We start from the raw sequence: 19,809 nt of genomic DNA on the forward strand, positions 1-19,809 counted from the left end.
TTTCTCCATCAGGCACATCAGTGTCTTCTTGCATTTAGGAATGCTAGACAGCAATTCAGCACTACATTTGAGAACCATTTTAAAGAGTGAAATCATCAACAAAAAGAATAACAATACAAAAAATGTGGCACTAAATGAACCCTGAAAAATACACTTGTTTGCAGTATGAGAGCTGAAATCAGAAGGCAAATCACTGCCTTATTCATCCTCAACTGGAAAAATGCATGTTAAGCTGCTCAAAATTTCACTGCTCTGTACATGTCCATGAATGGCCATGAAAGTACTACAAGTATTGATTTTAGGGTTACAAATACATTTTAGTGAGTAGGCAAATTTGCCAATAGGAAATCCACAAATAATGAAGATCAAGGGTGATGTATGGGTATGTATATCTGTGAGTGTATATTAGCTATATACCTACAAGATGATTAAATTTTTGAATTGCTGGGTCCAGAGAGTAAATACATATTTAATTTTTATTAAACTGCCAAACCATTTTTTTACATTTCAGACTTTAATCAGTAAAGTATGAGAGGTCTACTTATTATGAATCTTACCCTACAGTTGGTATTGTCAGTTGTATGACCCTACTTTTAAAATTTTTTGTTATTCAGGTGTGTGTATTTAAGTGTGCGTAGTTGCGGGGTTATCTCATTATAAAATGTTCCTCTTACAAATGTATTGGCTATGTAAAAAAGCTATACATGTTCAATGGATATAAGAAAATCAACTTTATTGAAGCTTAATTTAAATATCATGAAATGCATCCATTTTAAGTGTATACTTGAATAAGTTTTCATAAATGTGTGACGCCATGAAACCACCAGTATTGAAAGGACAGACTGTAAAGGGAAGAGAGCATATTGATTTTTTTCTCTACTCTCATGCTTACCAAAGAACAATTCTATGATCAGATGTGTGGGGACTTCTCTCCACACACCAAATAATTCTCTAGCAGATAACAATTGAGTGTCCTATAATTCAATTCATTTCTGATACTGTCTACCTGAAGATATTGTCAGATCCCACAGGTTAAAAGCTCAGTCCCATAGCTTCCCCCACCAATTTCAGATGCCAATTTCAAGTGCCAGGTTGTGATCTCTGCTTCTGACAGTCCAACTATAAATTTGAGCTCCCACAAATTCCCTTCCAGGATTCAATAATTTGCTAAAGCTGTTCCCAAAATTCAGGGGAACACTCCACATACATTTACTGGATTAACTTAATGGACTGTATAAAGGATGTAGACAAAGAACCAGATAAAGAGATGAACATGGGAAAGTATGGTGGGGAAGGGGGAGACCATCCCAGAGCTTCCATGTCCTTCTTGTTGGCACCACCCCTCCAGCACCTTCCTGTGTTCAGCAACCTGAGAGTTCATCAAATCTTGTTGTTCAAGGGTTTTCAAAGAACTTAATTTTCACCCCTACCCTTTCCTATATGATGGCAGGTGGAGCTAAAAGTTCCAACCCTCCAATTCTCTAATAATTTGTTCTTTCTGGTGAATGGCCACAACCTGAGGCTACCTAGAGGCCCTGCCCCAAGTCATCTCATTAGCATAAGCTCAGGTGTTATAAAGGGACTCATGAATAACAAAAGACATTCCTATCACTAGGGGGTTTTAGGAGCTCTGTGACAGAAACCTAGGACGAAGACCAAATACATTTTATATTTCATATTGTACCACACAGACACTTCCATCACCCCCAGCAGTCTGCGTATTTCCTTTGCTCACTTACCCTCAATTCCTTGTAAATGGGTCATGGTGTGTCCTGCTTCTTGTAGAAATGTGATATTTTCCAGAAGTTTTTAAATTTTAGCCTTTATGTTAATAGTGATGCTCAATTCCAAGTTAATTTTTGTGTTTATAGTGAGGTTAAGGTCAACATTTAATTTTTTTCCATATTGGTAGCTATTGTTCTTGCAACATCTGTTGAAAAGACTAGCCTTTGTCCTGGGTATTTTATCAAAACTCAGTTGTGTATGTTTAATTTTTTACACCAATTCTCTTTTTTTAAATCTGTTTGTCTATCATTACACATTACACCAATACCAGGTAGTTATGAATAGTTGAATATTATATTGTTATAGGTAGTTAGGCATAAGTAGGCCAGGAGAGGGCTCTCCCTCACCAGATAGAAATGTAGGGTGACGGTTTGGCAATTTTCACATTGCCTCTCTAAAACTGATAAATTGGCAGCTGGCACCAGGGAGAGGCCATTTCCTGATGGTCCATACTTGTTGCACAAAAGTGTTAATTAAATGCAGGTGCCAAGGAGAAGTAACTTCTTGGGCATACACATTAAGAGACAAAATGGTGGAGTATGACCTTCTGGAGACACGAGTGGAAAAGGGAAGAAAGCCTCAGGTGGACATGTGTAAAACTTCCTAAACACACTGCACATGCTCACATCCCAAGGTTAAGGAGGGCACTGCCCATGTGGGGAGCCCACTCTAAGGGAATAATCATGGGAAAGGGACCAGCCTGTAAAGCCCTAGGATCAAGGTTAAACACCACACTTGACCTTCACGTGCCCACTTGGGTTTCTTCCAAGTGTACTTTCCTTTTTTTCCTGTTATACAGCCTTTTTAAATACACTTCCACTCCAGCTCTGAAACTTGCCTTGTTCTCTTTTTCTGCCTTATGCCTCTCAGTCGAATTCTTTCTTCTGAGAAGGCAAGAATTGAGTTTGCTGCAGACCCATACAATTGGCCACTGGTAACTCGGATACCTGCCACTGGTAACATATGTGGTGCTGTGAGGCTCAGATATTTGCCACCCCTAACAATAGTAAGATTGAACTCAAAGAATGTGAGGCCGGGTGCGGTGGCTCACGCTTGTAATCCTAGCACTTTGGGAGGCCAAAGTGGGCTGATAACTTGATGTCAGGAGTTCCAGACCAGCCTGGCAAACATGGTGAAGCCCCGTCTCTACTAAAAATACAAAAATTAGCCAGGCGTGGTGGTGGGCACCTGTAATTCCAGCTACTTCGGAGGTTTAGGCAGGAGAATCACTTGAACCTGGGAGGTGGATATTGCAGTGAGCTGAGATCACGCCACTGCACTCCAGCCTGGGTGACAAAGCGAGACTCCATCTCAAAAGAAAAAAAAAAAAAAAAGAATATGAGACTCACATTAGTGTCAAACATGTTTGGTTCTTTCTAAGTCTAAAATTCTATGATTTCATTATTTCATTAATTCAACTAAAATTATGGAATGTTTACTTTGTACTAGCTACTTTGTTCCAAAATGAAAATGAAAACAAGAAAATGTATTTCTCAGGACTTCGGAGTCTAAATATAAAACTACAAACTGTTAAAATAGAAATGAATACCAAATATTATATAATAGAAAATAGAAAATGTAGGAATTAAATTTGCCTATGTACGTCAGAATGGCTTAAAAGACTACTCTTATAGTGGGATTTTCTTTCTCTTTCTGAGACAGAGTAAAGACAGAACTCAGCCCCTCCCTATACCCCACCAAGGACGTCTACTGCAAGCTAATTTGGTGGAGCAGGCATGGCCAGCAGGGACCCCACCGGACTGTCCAGACCTTGCACCATAAACCTTACTCAAGGTACCTAACTGACCAACTGTGTCACCATGAGGAGACTAAAATTAGCAGCTTTTGCCATAAATCTTACTAAAGGGAATTAAAACGTGGAGACCCACTATAAGTTTTACCCGCTGAAGATAACCATATTACCCATACGCTCAGAAGATCAAAATAATGATCAGTCTTTGCCCTTTGCCTCACTGTAATATCAAAAATCACAGCCAGGGGTGGAGATTTAACATGCTAATGAGACATGCAATACATGAAGAAGCATGTTATCAGACTGCCCAGATACCAGACGTTCCCCACCTCTAAATGCTTACATGTCACTTCCTTCCCATTTTAGCTCCTTTAAAATTACTCTCCTGACTCTCTTCAGAGAGGCAGGCAGAGAATTTTCTCTCTCTTATGCCTGGGCATAGAATCAAATAAAGTTTTGCTGGGAAAACTCCTTTGGCCTTCTGTCAATTTCTATTGCATTGATAGCACAAGAATCTGTGTTTGGTAATATATTAATTGGGGGCTCATATGAGATCATGGGACACGGAGCGCCCTTTCTCCCATGATGGGGGAGATTCGTGGGCTAAAAGGACTGCTGGACAAGATCACTACACAGCTAGTGAGACGCCCCCTGAATCTTTGATTCAGTGTCACCACAGCTGGTGAGTCTTTCTTCAACCTCCAGAGCTCCTTGCCACCTCCACTGAGCCATGCTCTTTTCCCTTCCCTTCCTCTCTCTTTACTCTCTTTTCCCTTTCCTATCTTTTCTGCCACTCAGGGTGCCCCTCCTCTCTTCCTCACTTCTTAACACAGAAAGTTGGATCTAAATGGACATCCATATGAGACAAGTTGAAACAGTCAACTCAGTTTTACCAGTCTGGGACACTTGAATATATATTTATAAAGGACAGATTGAAACAGCTGATCTGAGTATAATCAACCCAGTTGTCAGTGAGATGGGTTTCACTTCATCCTTCACATTAGTTGATTTGGGTTTGAGTCCCAGGAAATATATATCTCTCTCTCCCTTTTTTTTTCTCTCCTTATGTACCTAGATTTTGATTTTGTATCTTTGTGTAAAACTCATCATTAATGCTTTGCTTCTCTTTGCCACACTTCTGGCCTTCAGGAAGGCACCAGGCACATCTGAGTGTGACAGTAATTATTGGTTTTCTGCACAATAAAAAAAGTTCAGAATGCTAATAATCTGTAACTACAGATTTAAGTCAAGTCGTCTAACATTCTCTATCTCCCCCTATTTCTTTTCTGCCTGCTTTGCATCTGCTATTGTTAAGCTGCTGGTGATGAGATAAGACTCAATGTTTATGGTTTAACTGAAATGTAAACTTTTAAAAAACTTGTTTAAAACTAAAGAAAAAAAGAGGTAAAAGAGAGTTTTAAAACTAAACTACCATACAGGCTACTTTATCCAAATTTGGTACACAGCTTTCCTTAGATTACTTATCAGGACAGGAAAAGTTTAGCCATATGAACAGGTTACAATTTTGTTAGAAAAATAATTTGAATCCAGCTATATTTTATAAAATGGTGAGTTCATATTGCTGTCTTTTATAAAATGACTAGAATTCCAAGGTAAAAGCTATTGAATCTTTGTTTATGTGTATGTCCACATGTTTAGATGTGTTTATGTACATATATTATGATATATGTTTTGTCTAGCAGAATACCAAATTGGCTTATAAGTAAATGAGTACTCGCAACTTAAATCCATTGCTCTTTCGTTTCATATGACTTCAACAATTGTTGATAAATACAGACAATTTTAAAGATTTTTGGTAAAATAAAATTTAAAACTTCTTCACTATTTAGCCTTGGTCTAAATTAAGCAGGTCAGAAACTTCGTTCACAAGGTGCTTTAAGGTCATAAACTGATTCTATGACATTTTTGATAATTGTTTCACTTGTCTGTTTTACAGCTATTAGAATCTAGGTAAGGCCTGGAGACATGTGAAGTTAGCTATGTGCCCTGGCTAGGCTGGGAAGACTCAGATACTGTCTGCAGCTCTGTCCTTGTTCTGGGCTCTGCAATCTGATACATGGTTAAAATTTTTACTAACCAAGTTTTTCACTAAAATTAAAAGTTGTTAAGAGATAATATTGTAACATTTCTAAGTGAGACTACTGGAAAAACAGTTTTACATGTAAAGTATGTAAAGTAAAAAGTGTTTTTTTAATAAAAGGTCACAAAAAGGTATTGAAATATGGCTTTTGTTATAGGAAAAATAATTTTCTTGAATTTAGAGGCTTATACAGATCATCCTAAATTCAAAGAATAATACTACAGAACTAAAGTTTTAGCAGGTTATAAAAGATGTATAAAAGTTTAATCTTATAAGGAAAGTTAGGTGTGGAAGAAAGCTAGCCAAAATTTGAAGGGGATTTTTTAGGTTATTTTTTTCTGTCTTTATTAGGTCTTGTTATTTGGAAAGCTGAGTCACCCTTGTATAAATAACTAAAGGATTTCACTTTTTTGAAATGTTTGAGTTAGCACTTTGGCTAAATAAATAACCTGAGATCCTATTTTGTGATGTTGAGTGTTTTAAACCTTTGATATTTGACAAAATTTCTAAAATCAAGTCAAAAAGAGACATTTGGCTTATATAACATATTAAAATTATACAAGAAACATTGTCAAGTGTAAAATAAATGTTTGGCTTTGATGGAGGAATGTTTGAATAAAAGTATTATTAATATGTGTTCCAGAATTCCACAGGACTCCGTTATTTTGGATATGTCTCAATTATAATATTTTCAGTAATATTTATGTTTACGTTAAATTGTTGTATATCATAAAATAACCAAATTTTATTTTCAGTTGTGTCATTAACCATGGTTGTTCTGAAATTTTTGTCATCTGCAATTGTTGTTTTACTTTTTGATCCTTCTCAGAAAGTGGTTTTATAATCAGCTGTAGGTCTCTGACAGTTGCTCTTGAATGCAGGTTTCTAATAACTAGAGATTGGGCCATTAGGATAGAGCAAAAAACTTCAAAGTCCCTCTTGAAGCACTAATATGTTTCTAAATATTGATTAAAACAAGAGTTACCTGCATGAACTAAACTAATAGAAGTTTTAAAAAAAACTTCTTATGACTGTGTTTTCTCTAATTGCTATTGCTTTTTTTGTTTTGTTTTTCAGAGCCAAAACACTTTTTTTTTAGTTTTTTTTTACAGCTTTCAACAATAGAGGAAAATATACTCCTAGAAGCAAAATTTAGAACATACTTCTTTATCTCTACCAAATTTCTCCAGAATATAAAAACTATTTTTGTGTATTCTTAACTTATGTCAATACAGTTTTTAGCATAAGTGAAATAAGAATCAATTTTCTTTTCTAACAAGACACATTTAGAGACTTGTGTTTTTACCAAAGCTTTAACTGCAATGGCATGCTTTATAAATTGAAGATGACTTATAGACCTGATAAAAACCCTTTGGAAAAACTGGCCTCATACCTTGAGTATATAGTCCTTGTACAGGATTTCCCACCTGTGGTAAGTAAAGAATGGCACTTTCTAACAGGTCTAGAAACCCCAAGTTATATTGGGATCTCAACAGGACAGGCATTCACCCAATTCATACAGGTATTTGCAGGCACAGATAAATCTGTGGCTTGGCTCAAGGCTTGAAAACATCTAATCTGAGATCCCTTATGAAAATGAGTTTCAGCAAAGTGAAGTTGAAAAAAAAAACAAACAAAACAAAACAAAACAGAATGACTATAAATCTATATGTCAAATATTTTTTCTTGGTACACTTTATGCAAAGAAGCAAGGCCACTATAATAACATTAAAACTTATTTTGCAAACAAATTGGTCCTATTAGTTTTGTCTAAAAATGGGAAACTGGAGAGAGAAAAATAATGTTTCAAAAAACACTATAATAAAACTGTTCTTAGATTTCAGCCTTTTCCATTGTTTTTGAGTTTTTTGAATTTTTTCTATAATTTAGACTACATCTCAAGTTATTTCTGGGCTACCAGTCTCCTAACTTACATTTCCAAGTTTTTCTGCAGACCAAAATAACACTAATGGCTGAAGCTTATTTCTTATAATAGAGGTGAGCCCATGGAGGACCTCAAGTACCTGTTCAAGAAGGCCAGTTTACAGACAAATATATTACCTGTCTCTAAGTCTGATGATTTTCCTGATGATATTGATTGCCTTGCGGATATTTTGTGACTTTTCTTAGCCCACTCCCCTGGACAAAAATTTCCTTTGTCCTTGTTGGGTATAGGGAAATAGACCATGCTGCTCAGCAAGGCTGTAATCCCTTTCCTTCCTTGACTGTTAGAAGGGAAAATGATAGCAGTTTAATGCCTTGATCCCAACAATACTGGCAGTGATTGGGCTGTGATATATATTGCACCACCCCACCAAAAAATCAAAGTATTCTCCAATAGCCTTGATAGTACGTATCGGCCAACAAGAAAGTCAAAGCAAGCAGTTGGTATTCTAATTAATGAAATAGTAACCTTAATTGATTCCTTGATAGGACTAGCCAGGGAAATAGTTTACAACAATACCGTCACACAAAATGTTACAGTCATTATATCCACAGTGGCAGCTGGAATGGGACAGAATGTTAAGCTCATACAAAAGTTGTTAGACTCCCTGGCTTCAATGATCCTAGACCATCAATTAACCTTTGATTACTTACTGACTAAAAAAAGAGAATTATGTGCTATTACAAATATATCCTATTATTTCTACATTAATGTTACTGGAGAAATAGAACAAAGGACAGGACTCATCCTCCAACAGGCTACATGGCTATTGTTATGGGTTGGCTGTGTCTCCACCCAAATCTCATCTTGAATGGTAGCTTCCATAATTCCTACATGTGTGGGAAGGACCCAGTGGGAGACAACTGAATCATGGGAACAGTTCCTTCCCTACTGTTCTCTTGGTAGTGAATAAGTCTCAGGAGATCTGAAGGTTTTATAAGGGGAAACCTCTTTCCCTTGGTTCTCCTTCTTTCTGGTCTGTCACCACGGAAGGCATGCCTTTACCTTCCACCATGATTTTGAGGCCTCCCCAGCCACGTGGAACTGTGAGTCCATTAAACTTTTTTGTTTATAAATTACCCAGTCTTGTGTATGTCTTTATCAGCATGTGAAAATGAACTAATACAGTAAATTGGTACCAATAGAGTAGAGCACTGCTGTTAAGATACCTGAAAATGTGGAAGTGGCTTTGGAACTGGGTAAAAGGCAGAGATTAGAGCAGTTTGGAGGGCTCAGAAGAAAACAGAAAAATGAGGGACAGTTTGGAATTTCCTAGAGACTTGTTGAATGCCTTTGACCAAAACACTGATAACAGTATGGACAATGAAAACACGTCCAAAGTAGTCTCAGATGGAGATGAGGAACTTGTTGGGAACGAGAATAAAGTTGACTCTTGTTATGTTTTAGCAAAGCGACTGGTGGCATTTTGCCCCTGCTCTAGAAATTTGTAGAACTTTGACTTGAGGGAGATGATTTATCTGGTTATCTGGCAGAAGAAATTACTAAATTTCTAAATTTCTAAGCAGCAAAACATTCAAGAGGTGTCTTTGGTGCTGTTAAAAGCATTCAGTTTTAAAACGCAAACAGCATAAAGGTTTGGAAAATTTGTAACCTGATGATGCCATTGAAAAGAAAAACCCATTTTCTGGGGAGAAACTGAAGCCGGCAACAGAAACGAGCAAAGTAATGAGGAGCCAAAAGTTAATCACCAAGACAATGGGAAAAAAATGTCCCCAGGACATGTCAGAGAGCTTTTTGGCAGCTCCTCCCATCACAGGCTAAGAGACCAAGGAGAAAAAATGGTTTCTTGGGCCAGGTCCAGGGCCTCACTGCTATGTGCAGCCTAGGGACTTGGTGCCCTGCATCCTAGCCACTCTAGCCATGGCTAAAAGGGGCCAAGGTACAGCTCGGTCTGTGGCTTCAGAGGGTGCAAGCCCCAAGCCTTGAAAGCTTCCACATGGTGTTGAGCCTGTGAGTGCATAGAAGTCAAGAACTGAGGTTTGGGATCATCCACTTAGATTTCAGAGGATGTGTGGAAATGCCTGGATGTCCAGGAAGAAGTTTGCTGCAGAGACAGGACCCTAATGGAGAACCTCTGACAGGCCAGTGCAGAGGGGAAATGTGGGGTTGGAGCCTCCATACAGAGTCCCAGCTGGGGCACTGCCTAGTGGAGCTGTCAGAAGAGGGCCACCATCCTCCAGATCCCAGAATGGTAGATCCACCTACAGGTTGCACTGTGCACCTGGAAAAGCCACAGACACTCAATGCCAGTGCAAGAAAGCAGCCAACATGGGGCTGTACCCTGCAAGCCACAGGGGCGGAGCTGCCTAAGACCATGGGAACCTACCTCTTGCATCAGCGTGAACTGGATATGAGACATGTAGTCAAAGGAGATCATTTTGGAGCTTTAAGATTTGACTGCCTGCTGGATTTTGGATTTGCATGGGGCCTGTAGCCCCTTTGTTTTGGCAAATTTCTCCCATTCAGAATGGCTGTATTTACCAAATGCCTGTATCTCCATTGTGTCTAGGAAGTAACTAACTTGTTTTTGACTTTACAGGCTCATAGGTAGAAGGGACTTGCCTTGTCTCAGATGAAACTTTGGACTGTGGACTTTTGAGTTAATGCTGAAATGAGTTAAGACTTTGGAGGACTGTTGGGAAGGCATGATTGGTTTTGAAATGTGAGGACATGAGATCTGGGAGGGGCCAGAGGTGGAATAACATGGTTTGGCTGTGTCCCTATCCAAATCTCATCTTGAATATCAGCTCCCGTAATTCCCACATGTAGTGGAAGAGACCCAACCCAGTGGGAGGTAATTGAATCATGGGGGCAGTTTTCTCCCTACTGTTCTCCTGGTAGTGAATAAGTCTTACGAGAGCTGATGGTTTTATAAGGAGAAACACTTTTCACTTGGTTCTCATTGTCTCTTGTCTGGCACTGTATGAGACATGGCTTTCACCTACCACCATGACTGTGAGGCCTCCCCAGCCATCTGGAACTGTGAGTCCATTAAACCTCTTTTTGTTCATAAATTACCCAATCTTGGGTATGTCTTTATCTGTGGTAAGAAAATGGACTAATACAGCTATATAATTTTAATAACCCCTCTGCTAAAACCATCTGGGACTCTATTAAAAAATCTACCAAGCATTAGTGGTTCCTGCCTTTTCTGGGACCAGTGATAATCATTTTATTATTATTTTTTTTGGCTCCTGTCTTTTTACCTTTTGGTAAAGTTTATATCTTCCAAGCTCCAATGGTTCCACATATAGCTGATGAAGTCACAAGCATTTCAACTCATACCATCCCAAGGGGAGTCTAGTCACTATAAATCAATAGATCAGTCAGTAAGGCATTTGCAGAACTTTCAAATTTAGTCAGGGTCGATAGCTTGGCTCACCAAGAAACAACTCCAGAAAATGAAACCTCTGATTCTTTTCCTTAAGAATAAGGAACATAAAATCTCTCAGGGGGAAATGAGACAGATGAGGCATGGGACTCATTCCCCAACCTTTTGCCTTACTGAAGACTTCTAATGCAAGCTGATGGTCGGGTGGGGCATGGGCAGCAGGCACCCCAACCAGATCATTCAGACCCTGCATCATAAATCTTAAGGCTCCTTACCCATTGATTGTAGGACCTTGAAGAGACCAAAATTGGCAGCTTCCATCATAAATCTTACTCAAGGGAGTAAAAGGCAGAGTCCTATCACAAATTTTACCCAAGGGGGATAACTCTATCTGCCATATGCACCCAAGACCAGAAGAATGATTGGTATTTCCCTGTTGTTCATTATAATACTAAAAATCACACCCAGGGGTGCAGACTTAACATACTAATGAGTTATGCTATGCATGAAGAAGTATGTTACCAGACTGTAAAATTGCCTGCTTTAGCCTCTTTAAAATTACTCTCTTCTCTTTAGGTAGCCAGTCAGAGAATTGTCTCATGTACTGCCTTCTTTATGTTTGGACATAAGCTCCAATAAAGCTTTGTCTGGGAAAACTCTTTTGGTCTTGAGTCAATTTCTATTGCATTGAAAGCCCAAGAACCTGTGTCCCCACCCAATTCTCATCTCAAATTGCAATCACGGGTTGAGGGAGGGACCCAGTGGGAAGTGATTGGATCATGGGGGTGGTTTTCCCCATGCTGTTCTTGTGATAGTGAGTTCTCAGGAGAGCTGATGGTTTTAAAGTGCAGCACTTCCTCATGTGCTCTCTCTCTCCCTCACCTGCCACTGTGTAAGACATGCTTTGCTTCCCCTCTCCCTTCCGCTATGATTGTAAATTTTCTAAGGCCTCCCCAGCCAGGCAGAATTGTGAGTCAATGAAACCTCTTTTATTTATAAGTTATCAAGTCTCAGGTAGTATTTTTATAGCAGTATGAGAACTAACTAATACAGTAACATTCCTGTCACACCACTTAAAGGCACAATAATGTAATCACCTTTGTTGGGCTTGCTGAATTCTGATGTAGGAAGACCATGAAGCAAACATGTTTGTTTCAGTATTCCAATTAAGATGATTACAGATCTAATTTAATTCAGAGCTCATTTAATAAAAAATAACAAATACATTTGAAATTAATCTAGGTGGTAAAAATTAATAGAAGTTAATGCCCTTTGGATAAGTATACTGCAATGCTGAAGAAGAGAAATTACCAAGAAAGATGAACCTGGTTGCCATAAACTTTGATTATAATGTGAGAAGGAGGAGGTATATGAATTGATAGTTTAGAACATCATACAGTTGATGTTCTTGTAGGTATTTATGGAAATGCCACTGGGTCATTGTAATTAAATGTTTGGGAAAGATAAGCAGCCTTTTAAATGCCAGTGGTGCATCCCTAATCAACTATTCCGGAAATTATCTCATTAAACAAGTTAGCTAGATCATAAATGTATTATGCCACACTAAAATCACTGTCTTTGAAAGGTATAGGCATATTTAGATAGATAGTATTTTAAAATTCTATCACTCATATATTATTATTTGATTTGGGTGTACATTTTGCAGTTAACTTAATCATGAACATGCTCTGGGACAGATAACTCCTCAGATTTGATTCAGTTGTAAGAATCATATAAAGGTAGAAAATTGTTTCGTGGTTGTTCATAACAGCATCTACATCAAGGTCATCTTTTTCATCTTTTGTGAGTTTTATCTCAAGAATTCAGTTAAGTAATTGTTGGAACACATGCATGAATAAAAATAAATTTTTAATATTTTAACACTTTGAGGGTATCTATGTTTCCACTATTTATGAAAAAATGAAACAGTTTTTAGAACATGTATAATTTAGAGTCCTTGATTTTCATAAGGAGACATTATTTAATTCTTCTACTTGCCTGATACTCATGGCATATCAACATTACTTTGATGAAAAACATTAAATCTCTTTGGATTAAATGCCTGCAGGTAATATCAAGTATGATTTACCTCTCACAAGCCTATTACACATGTTTAGGAAAGACGTTAAAAAAACAGTATTTCGAACAATTAATGCTGTAGTTGTGTTAACCTGTGTAACTGAATCAATCCATATCATCAATATGCTATGCTGCATAATTCTGTTATTTCAATGACTGTTTTAAAATTCTCCACCCTTGACATTCTAATCTGCCATTGTATTGGTTTTTATTAATAATAAAAATAGTAAATATTTATTGAAAATTCTTGATATGCCATGTGTTCAGCTTAATCTTGGTATTAATTAACTTGTGAGTCTCCAAAATAGGTTATTTCATCTCCAGAGGTACAGAAAGATTTCTTAAAAAATGTGTCTTGCATGTTGCAATATTTAATTTTAAATATTTCAATTTCCTTGTGAACAACTTTCAAATGTCACATTCCCTAAGACTGAGATTTCTTAAAACACCTATACTTGGCCAGGCACAGTGGCTCATGCCTGTAATTTCAGCACTTTGGGAGGCAGAGGCAGGCAGATAGCCTGAATCCAGGAGTTTAAGACCAGCCTGGACAACACGGTGAAACCCTGTCTCTTCCAAAAAAGAAAAATTAGCTCAGTAGGGTGGAGCATGCCTGTAGTCCCACGTATTTTTGGGAAGATTAAGTGGGAGGATCACCTGAGTCCAGGGACTTTGAAGATTGCACCATTGCACTCCAACCTGGGGAACAGAGTAAGACCTTGTCAAAACAAAACAAAACAAAAACAAAAACAAAAATCCCTATTACTTGCTCATTCCCCTATTCTCTTTCCCTTTTACAATAGTCTTTTTCCATATCTTGAAACTAAAGGTAGAATTTGTCACTTTCCACAAATCATAAAATGGTTCACAAAAAGAATATTTCAAAATATTTGTTATATATTAAAAGTAATAATATGCACATTAAATACCTTATTTAACAAATAATTTTCACAATTCAGATGGCTGACATTGTTTTCAAAAGTTTGTAAGGGAAGACTTGAATAATTGTCAGTTGATAGATATTAAAAGTAATATTTGAGAGGTGGCAAGAGGATTTCTCCAACCACACACACACACACACACACACATACACACACAGAGCTGAGTTTTCAACAAAATCATAACTTTTCTTTAACTCATTATAGAGTTAAAGTCACAGGAAATAATGTATCCTGAAATTGAAATACAAATCCTGTCAAGGAGAGATTGGATACAAGCGCTTACACATCTAATGCAGTGCATTGGAGAAAGGAATGCCAAGTGCACATAAAATATGGTAAGAACAATGCAGTTAAATTGTTAAGAAAATTACTAAATGCTGGCTTCAGGCTAGGATGAGAGTATAGAAAACTGAGCCACAGACAACAGGGAAATTTATACTCACTCGAAGACTCTTCTCCAAAAACCTCATGATTGGCTCACAAGAAACACTGGCTGACAGAGGGATAGAAAATCCCTCGTGCTGCAGACCTGGGAGAGGAAAGCATCAGGCCCTGGGAGAAAGAACAAACAAGCTCCACCCGTAGTCTTCACTACAGAAGACTTAAAACTACTAGGTAGCAAACTCTGTCACCCTAATGGCAGATGGAGAAAATCCACTGGGACAAAGAGAAGGGGAAATACAATGAAACACTTCTATTCCCAGGAAAGAGACAGGAAATACTTTTGGGGCCAGATTATTGGAGGTACCCAATCACTGTATAGGAGCAAGATCAATTAGAAAGTCCCATTTTCAAGATTCAGAGACATAGACCCTGAATATAGGTAGACACAAGCCCTGATTAAATTTAGGCTGAATGAAACAACAAAAAAACACTCTGCTATCTCCACCCTATTTTTAAAAAGCTAGCAAGTTCTAGGAAACACACCACAGCAGCCTATCACTGAGTTAGACACGAGAAGAAGAGCAAATCTTTCTGAAAAATCAGGCTCACAGGAACAGCTTAAAGCTAAGGGTGAAATGGGATCTTTATGTAGAACTCTTGAGTACCCAGCCCCTGAGCTATAGGTCAGGGTAAAGCCAGAGGATTTGAAGCAAGTAATGCACTGAGGTTAATCATAGGAAAACCTAAACCCACCCAGAAAATCTCAGATTGTGGTATTCTCCATTTAAAAAGTCACTTAATAGTTGACATTTTTTTTTCTTATCGCTTTTTCTGCATGCTTGCTACTCAGAGCAATGTTGATCAGTTATCTTTATCTGATGTTTCCTCTGAAAGACCAGACCTGCATTATAGGTCATTAAAGAATTTAATGTTCTAAGGAGAACATTGAGGAGAGTCTACCGGCATAGTCAAAAGGAAGATGGGGCACATTGTATGTGCCTATGTGGTACTATGTGGCCTTGTCTCCTTGTGATAATGTAAAGTCTAGATTCAGAGATGAATATTCCTAGTTGCATAGGCCAACATGTCACTACCTCAGAAGGGAAGATTTAAAGAATCTGAGAATGATTGGATCTCTTTGCCATTAAACCTCTAACTATAACATACTTAAACTAGAAATTATTCATAGAAAGATATTTAAAAGATATATATATTTAAATTAAACAACACATATTTCTAAGTAAATAATCAGTCAAAGAATATATGACAGGCATATTATATTTTAATTGAATAAAAATGAAAGCAAAATATATTAAAATTTATAGTGTGCAGTTAAATGATAGCACTAAATGCTTTTTTAGAAGACAGTCCTCACATAAATGATCTAAGTTTGTTAAATAATCTAGAAGAAAAGAAGAGCAAATAAAACCCTAAAAAGGGCAAGAAAAGAAATATCAAAGAACAATTTATCTGTGATATTAAAAATAAAGTCTAAAAGGAGAAGAAGAAAAATCAAAGAAAGCAAAAACTGGTTCTCTGAAAATATCACTAAAATTGAAAAAATTCTCACCAGAGTCACCACAAAAAATACAAGACAAAAACTACAAATACTAGGAAGAAAAGAAGATAAATTACCACACATCTTACCAATATTAAAAGGATAATAAAGCTGGGTGTGGTGGCTCATGCCTGTAATCCTAACAACATTTTGGGAGGTCAAAGGTGGGTAGATTGCTTGAGCTGAGGAGTTCAAGAACAGCCTGAACAACATGGTGAAATATCATATCATCAAAAAATATCCCCCCAAATTTAGCCGGGGGTGGTGGTGCATGCATGCAGTCCCAGCTGCTCAGGAAGCTGAAGTGAGAGGAACACTTGAGCCCAGGGAGGTCGAGGCTGCAGTGAGCAATGATAGCTCCACCACGCTCCAGCCTGGGCAACAGAGTGAGACCCCATCTAAAAAAAAAGGACAATAAGAAAATATAAACAAATTCATGCTTATTGACTAGAAAATTTCAAGGAGATGATATAATTCCTAAGAAGTTCAAAACTAGCAATTCTCATTCAAAAAGTAATAATCTGAATAGTTCTACATGAATAAAGACATTAAATCTTTGTTCAAAAGTATTCAAACTAAGGAAACTCCAGGCTATATGCCCTTCCTGCTGAATTCTATCAAAAATTTAAAGAAGGAAAAGTATCAATTCTATATAAACTCTTCCAGAAAATGAAAAAGGAGAAAATCTTTTCTAAATTATTTTAGGAGACTATTCCTTCCTTCATTCAAAATTTAGACAAAATCTAACAATAAAATTACAGACTGATGTCCCTCATGGACATGTATACAAAAATTTTAAATAAAATATAGCAATACATAAAATACAAAATTCAGTTACATGTGAAAAGGATAATATGATACATTGTAACCAAACTTGGCTTCTCCCAGAAAGGCAAAGCTGGTTCAATATTTGAAAATTAAACAACAGAATTCACCATTAACAGACAAAAGATAAAAACACATATAATAGATGTAGCAGAGTCCCCTAACAAGACTCAACATTCATTTATAATAAAAAGTCAAAGCAAACTGAGAATAGAGAGGAATATCTTCAATCTAGTCAACAGCATCAAAAGCAATAAACAAATAAACTACAGTTAACATCACTAAGACTGGTTTTTCCCAAAGTTTGGAACAAGGTAAGAATATGTACTCTCACTACTAAGTAAATACTTCTATTCAATATCATACTGGAGGTCCTAGCTAGTGCAATCAGACAAAAAATATAGATAAAAGGTGTATGTGCTGGAAGGGAAAAATTAAAATTGTCTCTTCACAGCTAACATTTTTTATGTAAAAAATTCCACAGGATTTACAAAAGAAAAGCTATTTGAATTATTAAGTAAATGTAAGGGTTTCACAACATGACAGCATGCAAAATCAATATGCAAAAATCAATTATACTTTTAAACACTAACAAGTTAATTGAAAATTAAAATTTTTAAGTACAACTTACATATTACCAAATATATGAAATAGTTATGTATATCAAGATATAAAAGATTGATGAAAGAAATCAAAAGAGTAATAGAGATACATACTAATTTTACATATTGGAAATCCCAATTGTGGCAATCTCCCCAGTCTGCATTATGAATATTTTACAATCTCAGTAAAAATGAAGGCTGAAATTGTTTTTATAGAAATCAACAAATTCCTTTGAAAGAAACTAGAATATCCAAAATAAATTGAGAAAGAACTAAGTTAGCCTTACACTGCACAATTTCTTGAGTTAATCTAACTCTATAGTTTACTAGATATAGTATGTATTGCCAAAAGAATAAACACATATCAACAGAACAAAATAAAAAGTCTGGAAATTGATCCATAGATGTAGTCAATTAATTTCAATTAATTTTTTCAAATTCTGTTATGGATGCAGAGCAACTAGAATTCTTATAGCTTGACAGTGGAAATCCAAAATAATACAGTCACTTTGGGAAACAATTTGACAGTTGATTATACAGGTAAACATCTACTTAACGTGTGTACCAACAGTTTACCTTCTAAATATTAGCCAAGTAATATGAAAATTTATGACCATTCAAAAACCTATATAGTAATGTTTACAGCAGCTTTAATAGCAATTATGGAAAACTGGAATCACTCCAAATGCCCTACAACTGCTTAATGGATAAACCATTAAGGTACATCATAAAATGGAATTACTCAACAATAAAAACCACACACTACTGATATATACAACATAATTGAACCACAAATATATGATGCTAAATGACAGAAAGACTAAAAATGGTTGTACACAGTATGATCCATTTCCATGACATTTAGGAAAAGGAAAAACTTTAAGAAAATAGATGACTATTTGCCTGAGGCTGTGACTAAACAGCGGTTTTACCTACAAACGTCCACAGAAAGAGTGAAGGGCAGAGACAACGGAGCTGTCATAGATCTGGTCGTAGTTACATGACATTATATGTTTTGGAAAACTCACAAAATTGAACACAAAACCAGTGACATTTTACAGCCTGTAAATTGAATATCAATTAAAAATATAAAAAAATGATATTCATTGATAAACTAATCTGTGATTTTGGCTAAAATCTTGGAAGAAATTTAAAGAGTTTATGATGTTGTTATAATGAAATTCCTTTCATTTCTATATACTTATTTGAACAATATTTTCTAGTTGCTTGTATTATAAAACTGAACTACAGAAATAGAATTTTAACTAAATCTATCTTATTGCACCATTAAGTGAAAATTTGTCATGGATACACAAATTAATTGTGAAACAAAATTATAAATTTTTAAATGGCATTATAAATATTATTAATATTTATAATATAATTAATCTCATAATAGATGCATTTCCAAAAAAATTCATGTGTAATATTTGCCTATCACTAAATAATATATTGAAGATTTGTCAGTTAATATATTAATATCAATGATATAAAGTATATAATTTATATAACAAATTTGCTTAAAACAATAGGTTCTATATAATTAATATATGATCATAATATAGTTATATTTAAATAATATATGATATATAGATAAATATATAATATGGAAATATATAACTTTTAATTATATTTTCACCATATTATTTTCAAATGTGTATAATATATTAACATATAATACATAATATATTAATCTATAAATACTAATAATGTTTTTTATCATGAATTCATTAGAAAGGTATGCTACATTGATAAAAATATTAATCATAAAATTTACATTAAGATAAAATTTTACCAAAAAGTGAAATGAAAGAACAAGTTTAATTTCCTCTGTTTTATAGTTAAAACAAGAGGAAAAACAATCAAAACCACAGAATAATAGAGAAATTAGTTAATTGGATCATTGTTAGTTAGCAACAGGCAATACTAGGGCTAATTGAATCTAACACTTATACCCATGTTCTCATTTTCTTCTTCAATATACTGGAATATTTTTCACAAAGGATCTATGTAGGAAAAAAGTATGAAAGAAGGTGTTTTTGGCTTTTGTTGCTCATTTTTAGAAATCAATTATATACTTTGCATTGTCTTTCAATTCACCTTATATAAGAAAGATTTCTACTGCTAATTATTTTAGAATTATTGACATGGATAAAATCTGCTAATCTTAATCATGTGTTGCAACTTCTCAGCTTCTTTTTTTTTCCTTTGGATACAATTGAAGTTACATAACCTTTAATTTTCATTTTTGCCTTTTCTGGTAGAAAATTCAAAATAAAAGGTAAAGATAAATTGCTAAAGACTGCTTCAGCTTGAGTTGTACCTGTTTCTTCATGTATAGATATTCAACACAAGTGTGGGTATGTGTGAGTGTCAAAATTTGTCAAGAAGCATATATAGTGTCATATTTCTTATTTAAGATATTTTAATTAGTTATCACAATAATCCTTCAAGGAAGGTATTTTAACAATAAGTAAATCTCAA

The sequence above is a fragment of the Homo sapiens genome, chromosome 3, assembly GCF_000001405.40.
Source record: "Homo sapiens chromosome 3, GRCh38.p14 Primary Assembly".
Lineage (NCBI taxonomy): Eukaryota > Metazoa > Chordata > Mammalia > Primates > Hominidae > Homo > Homo sapiens.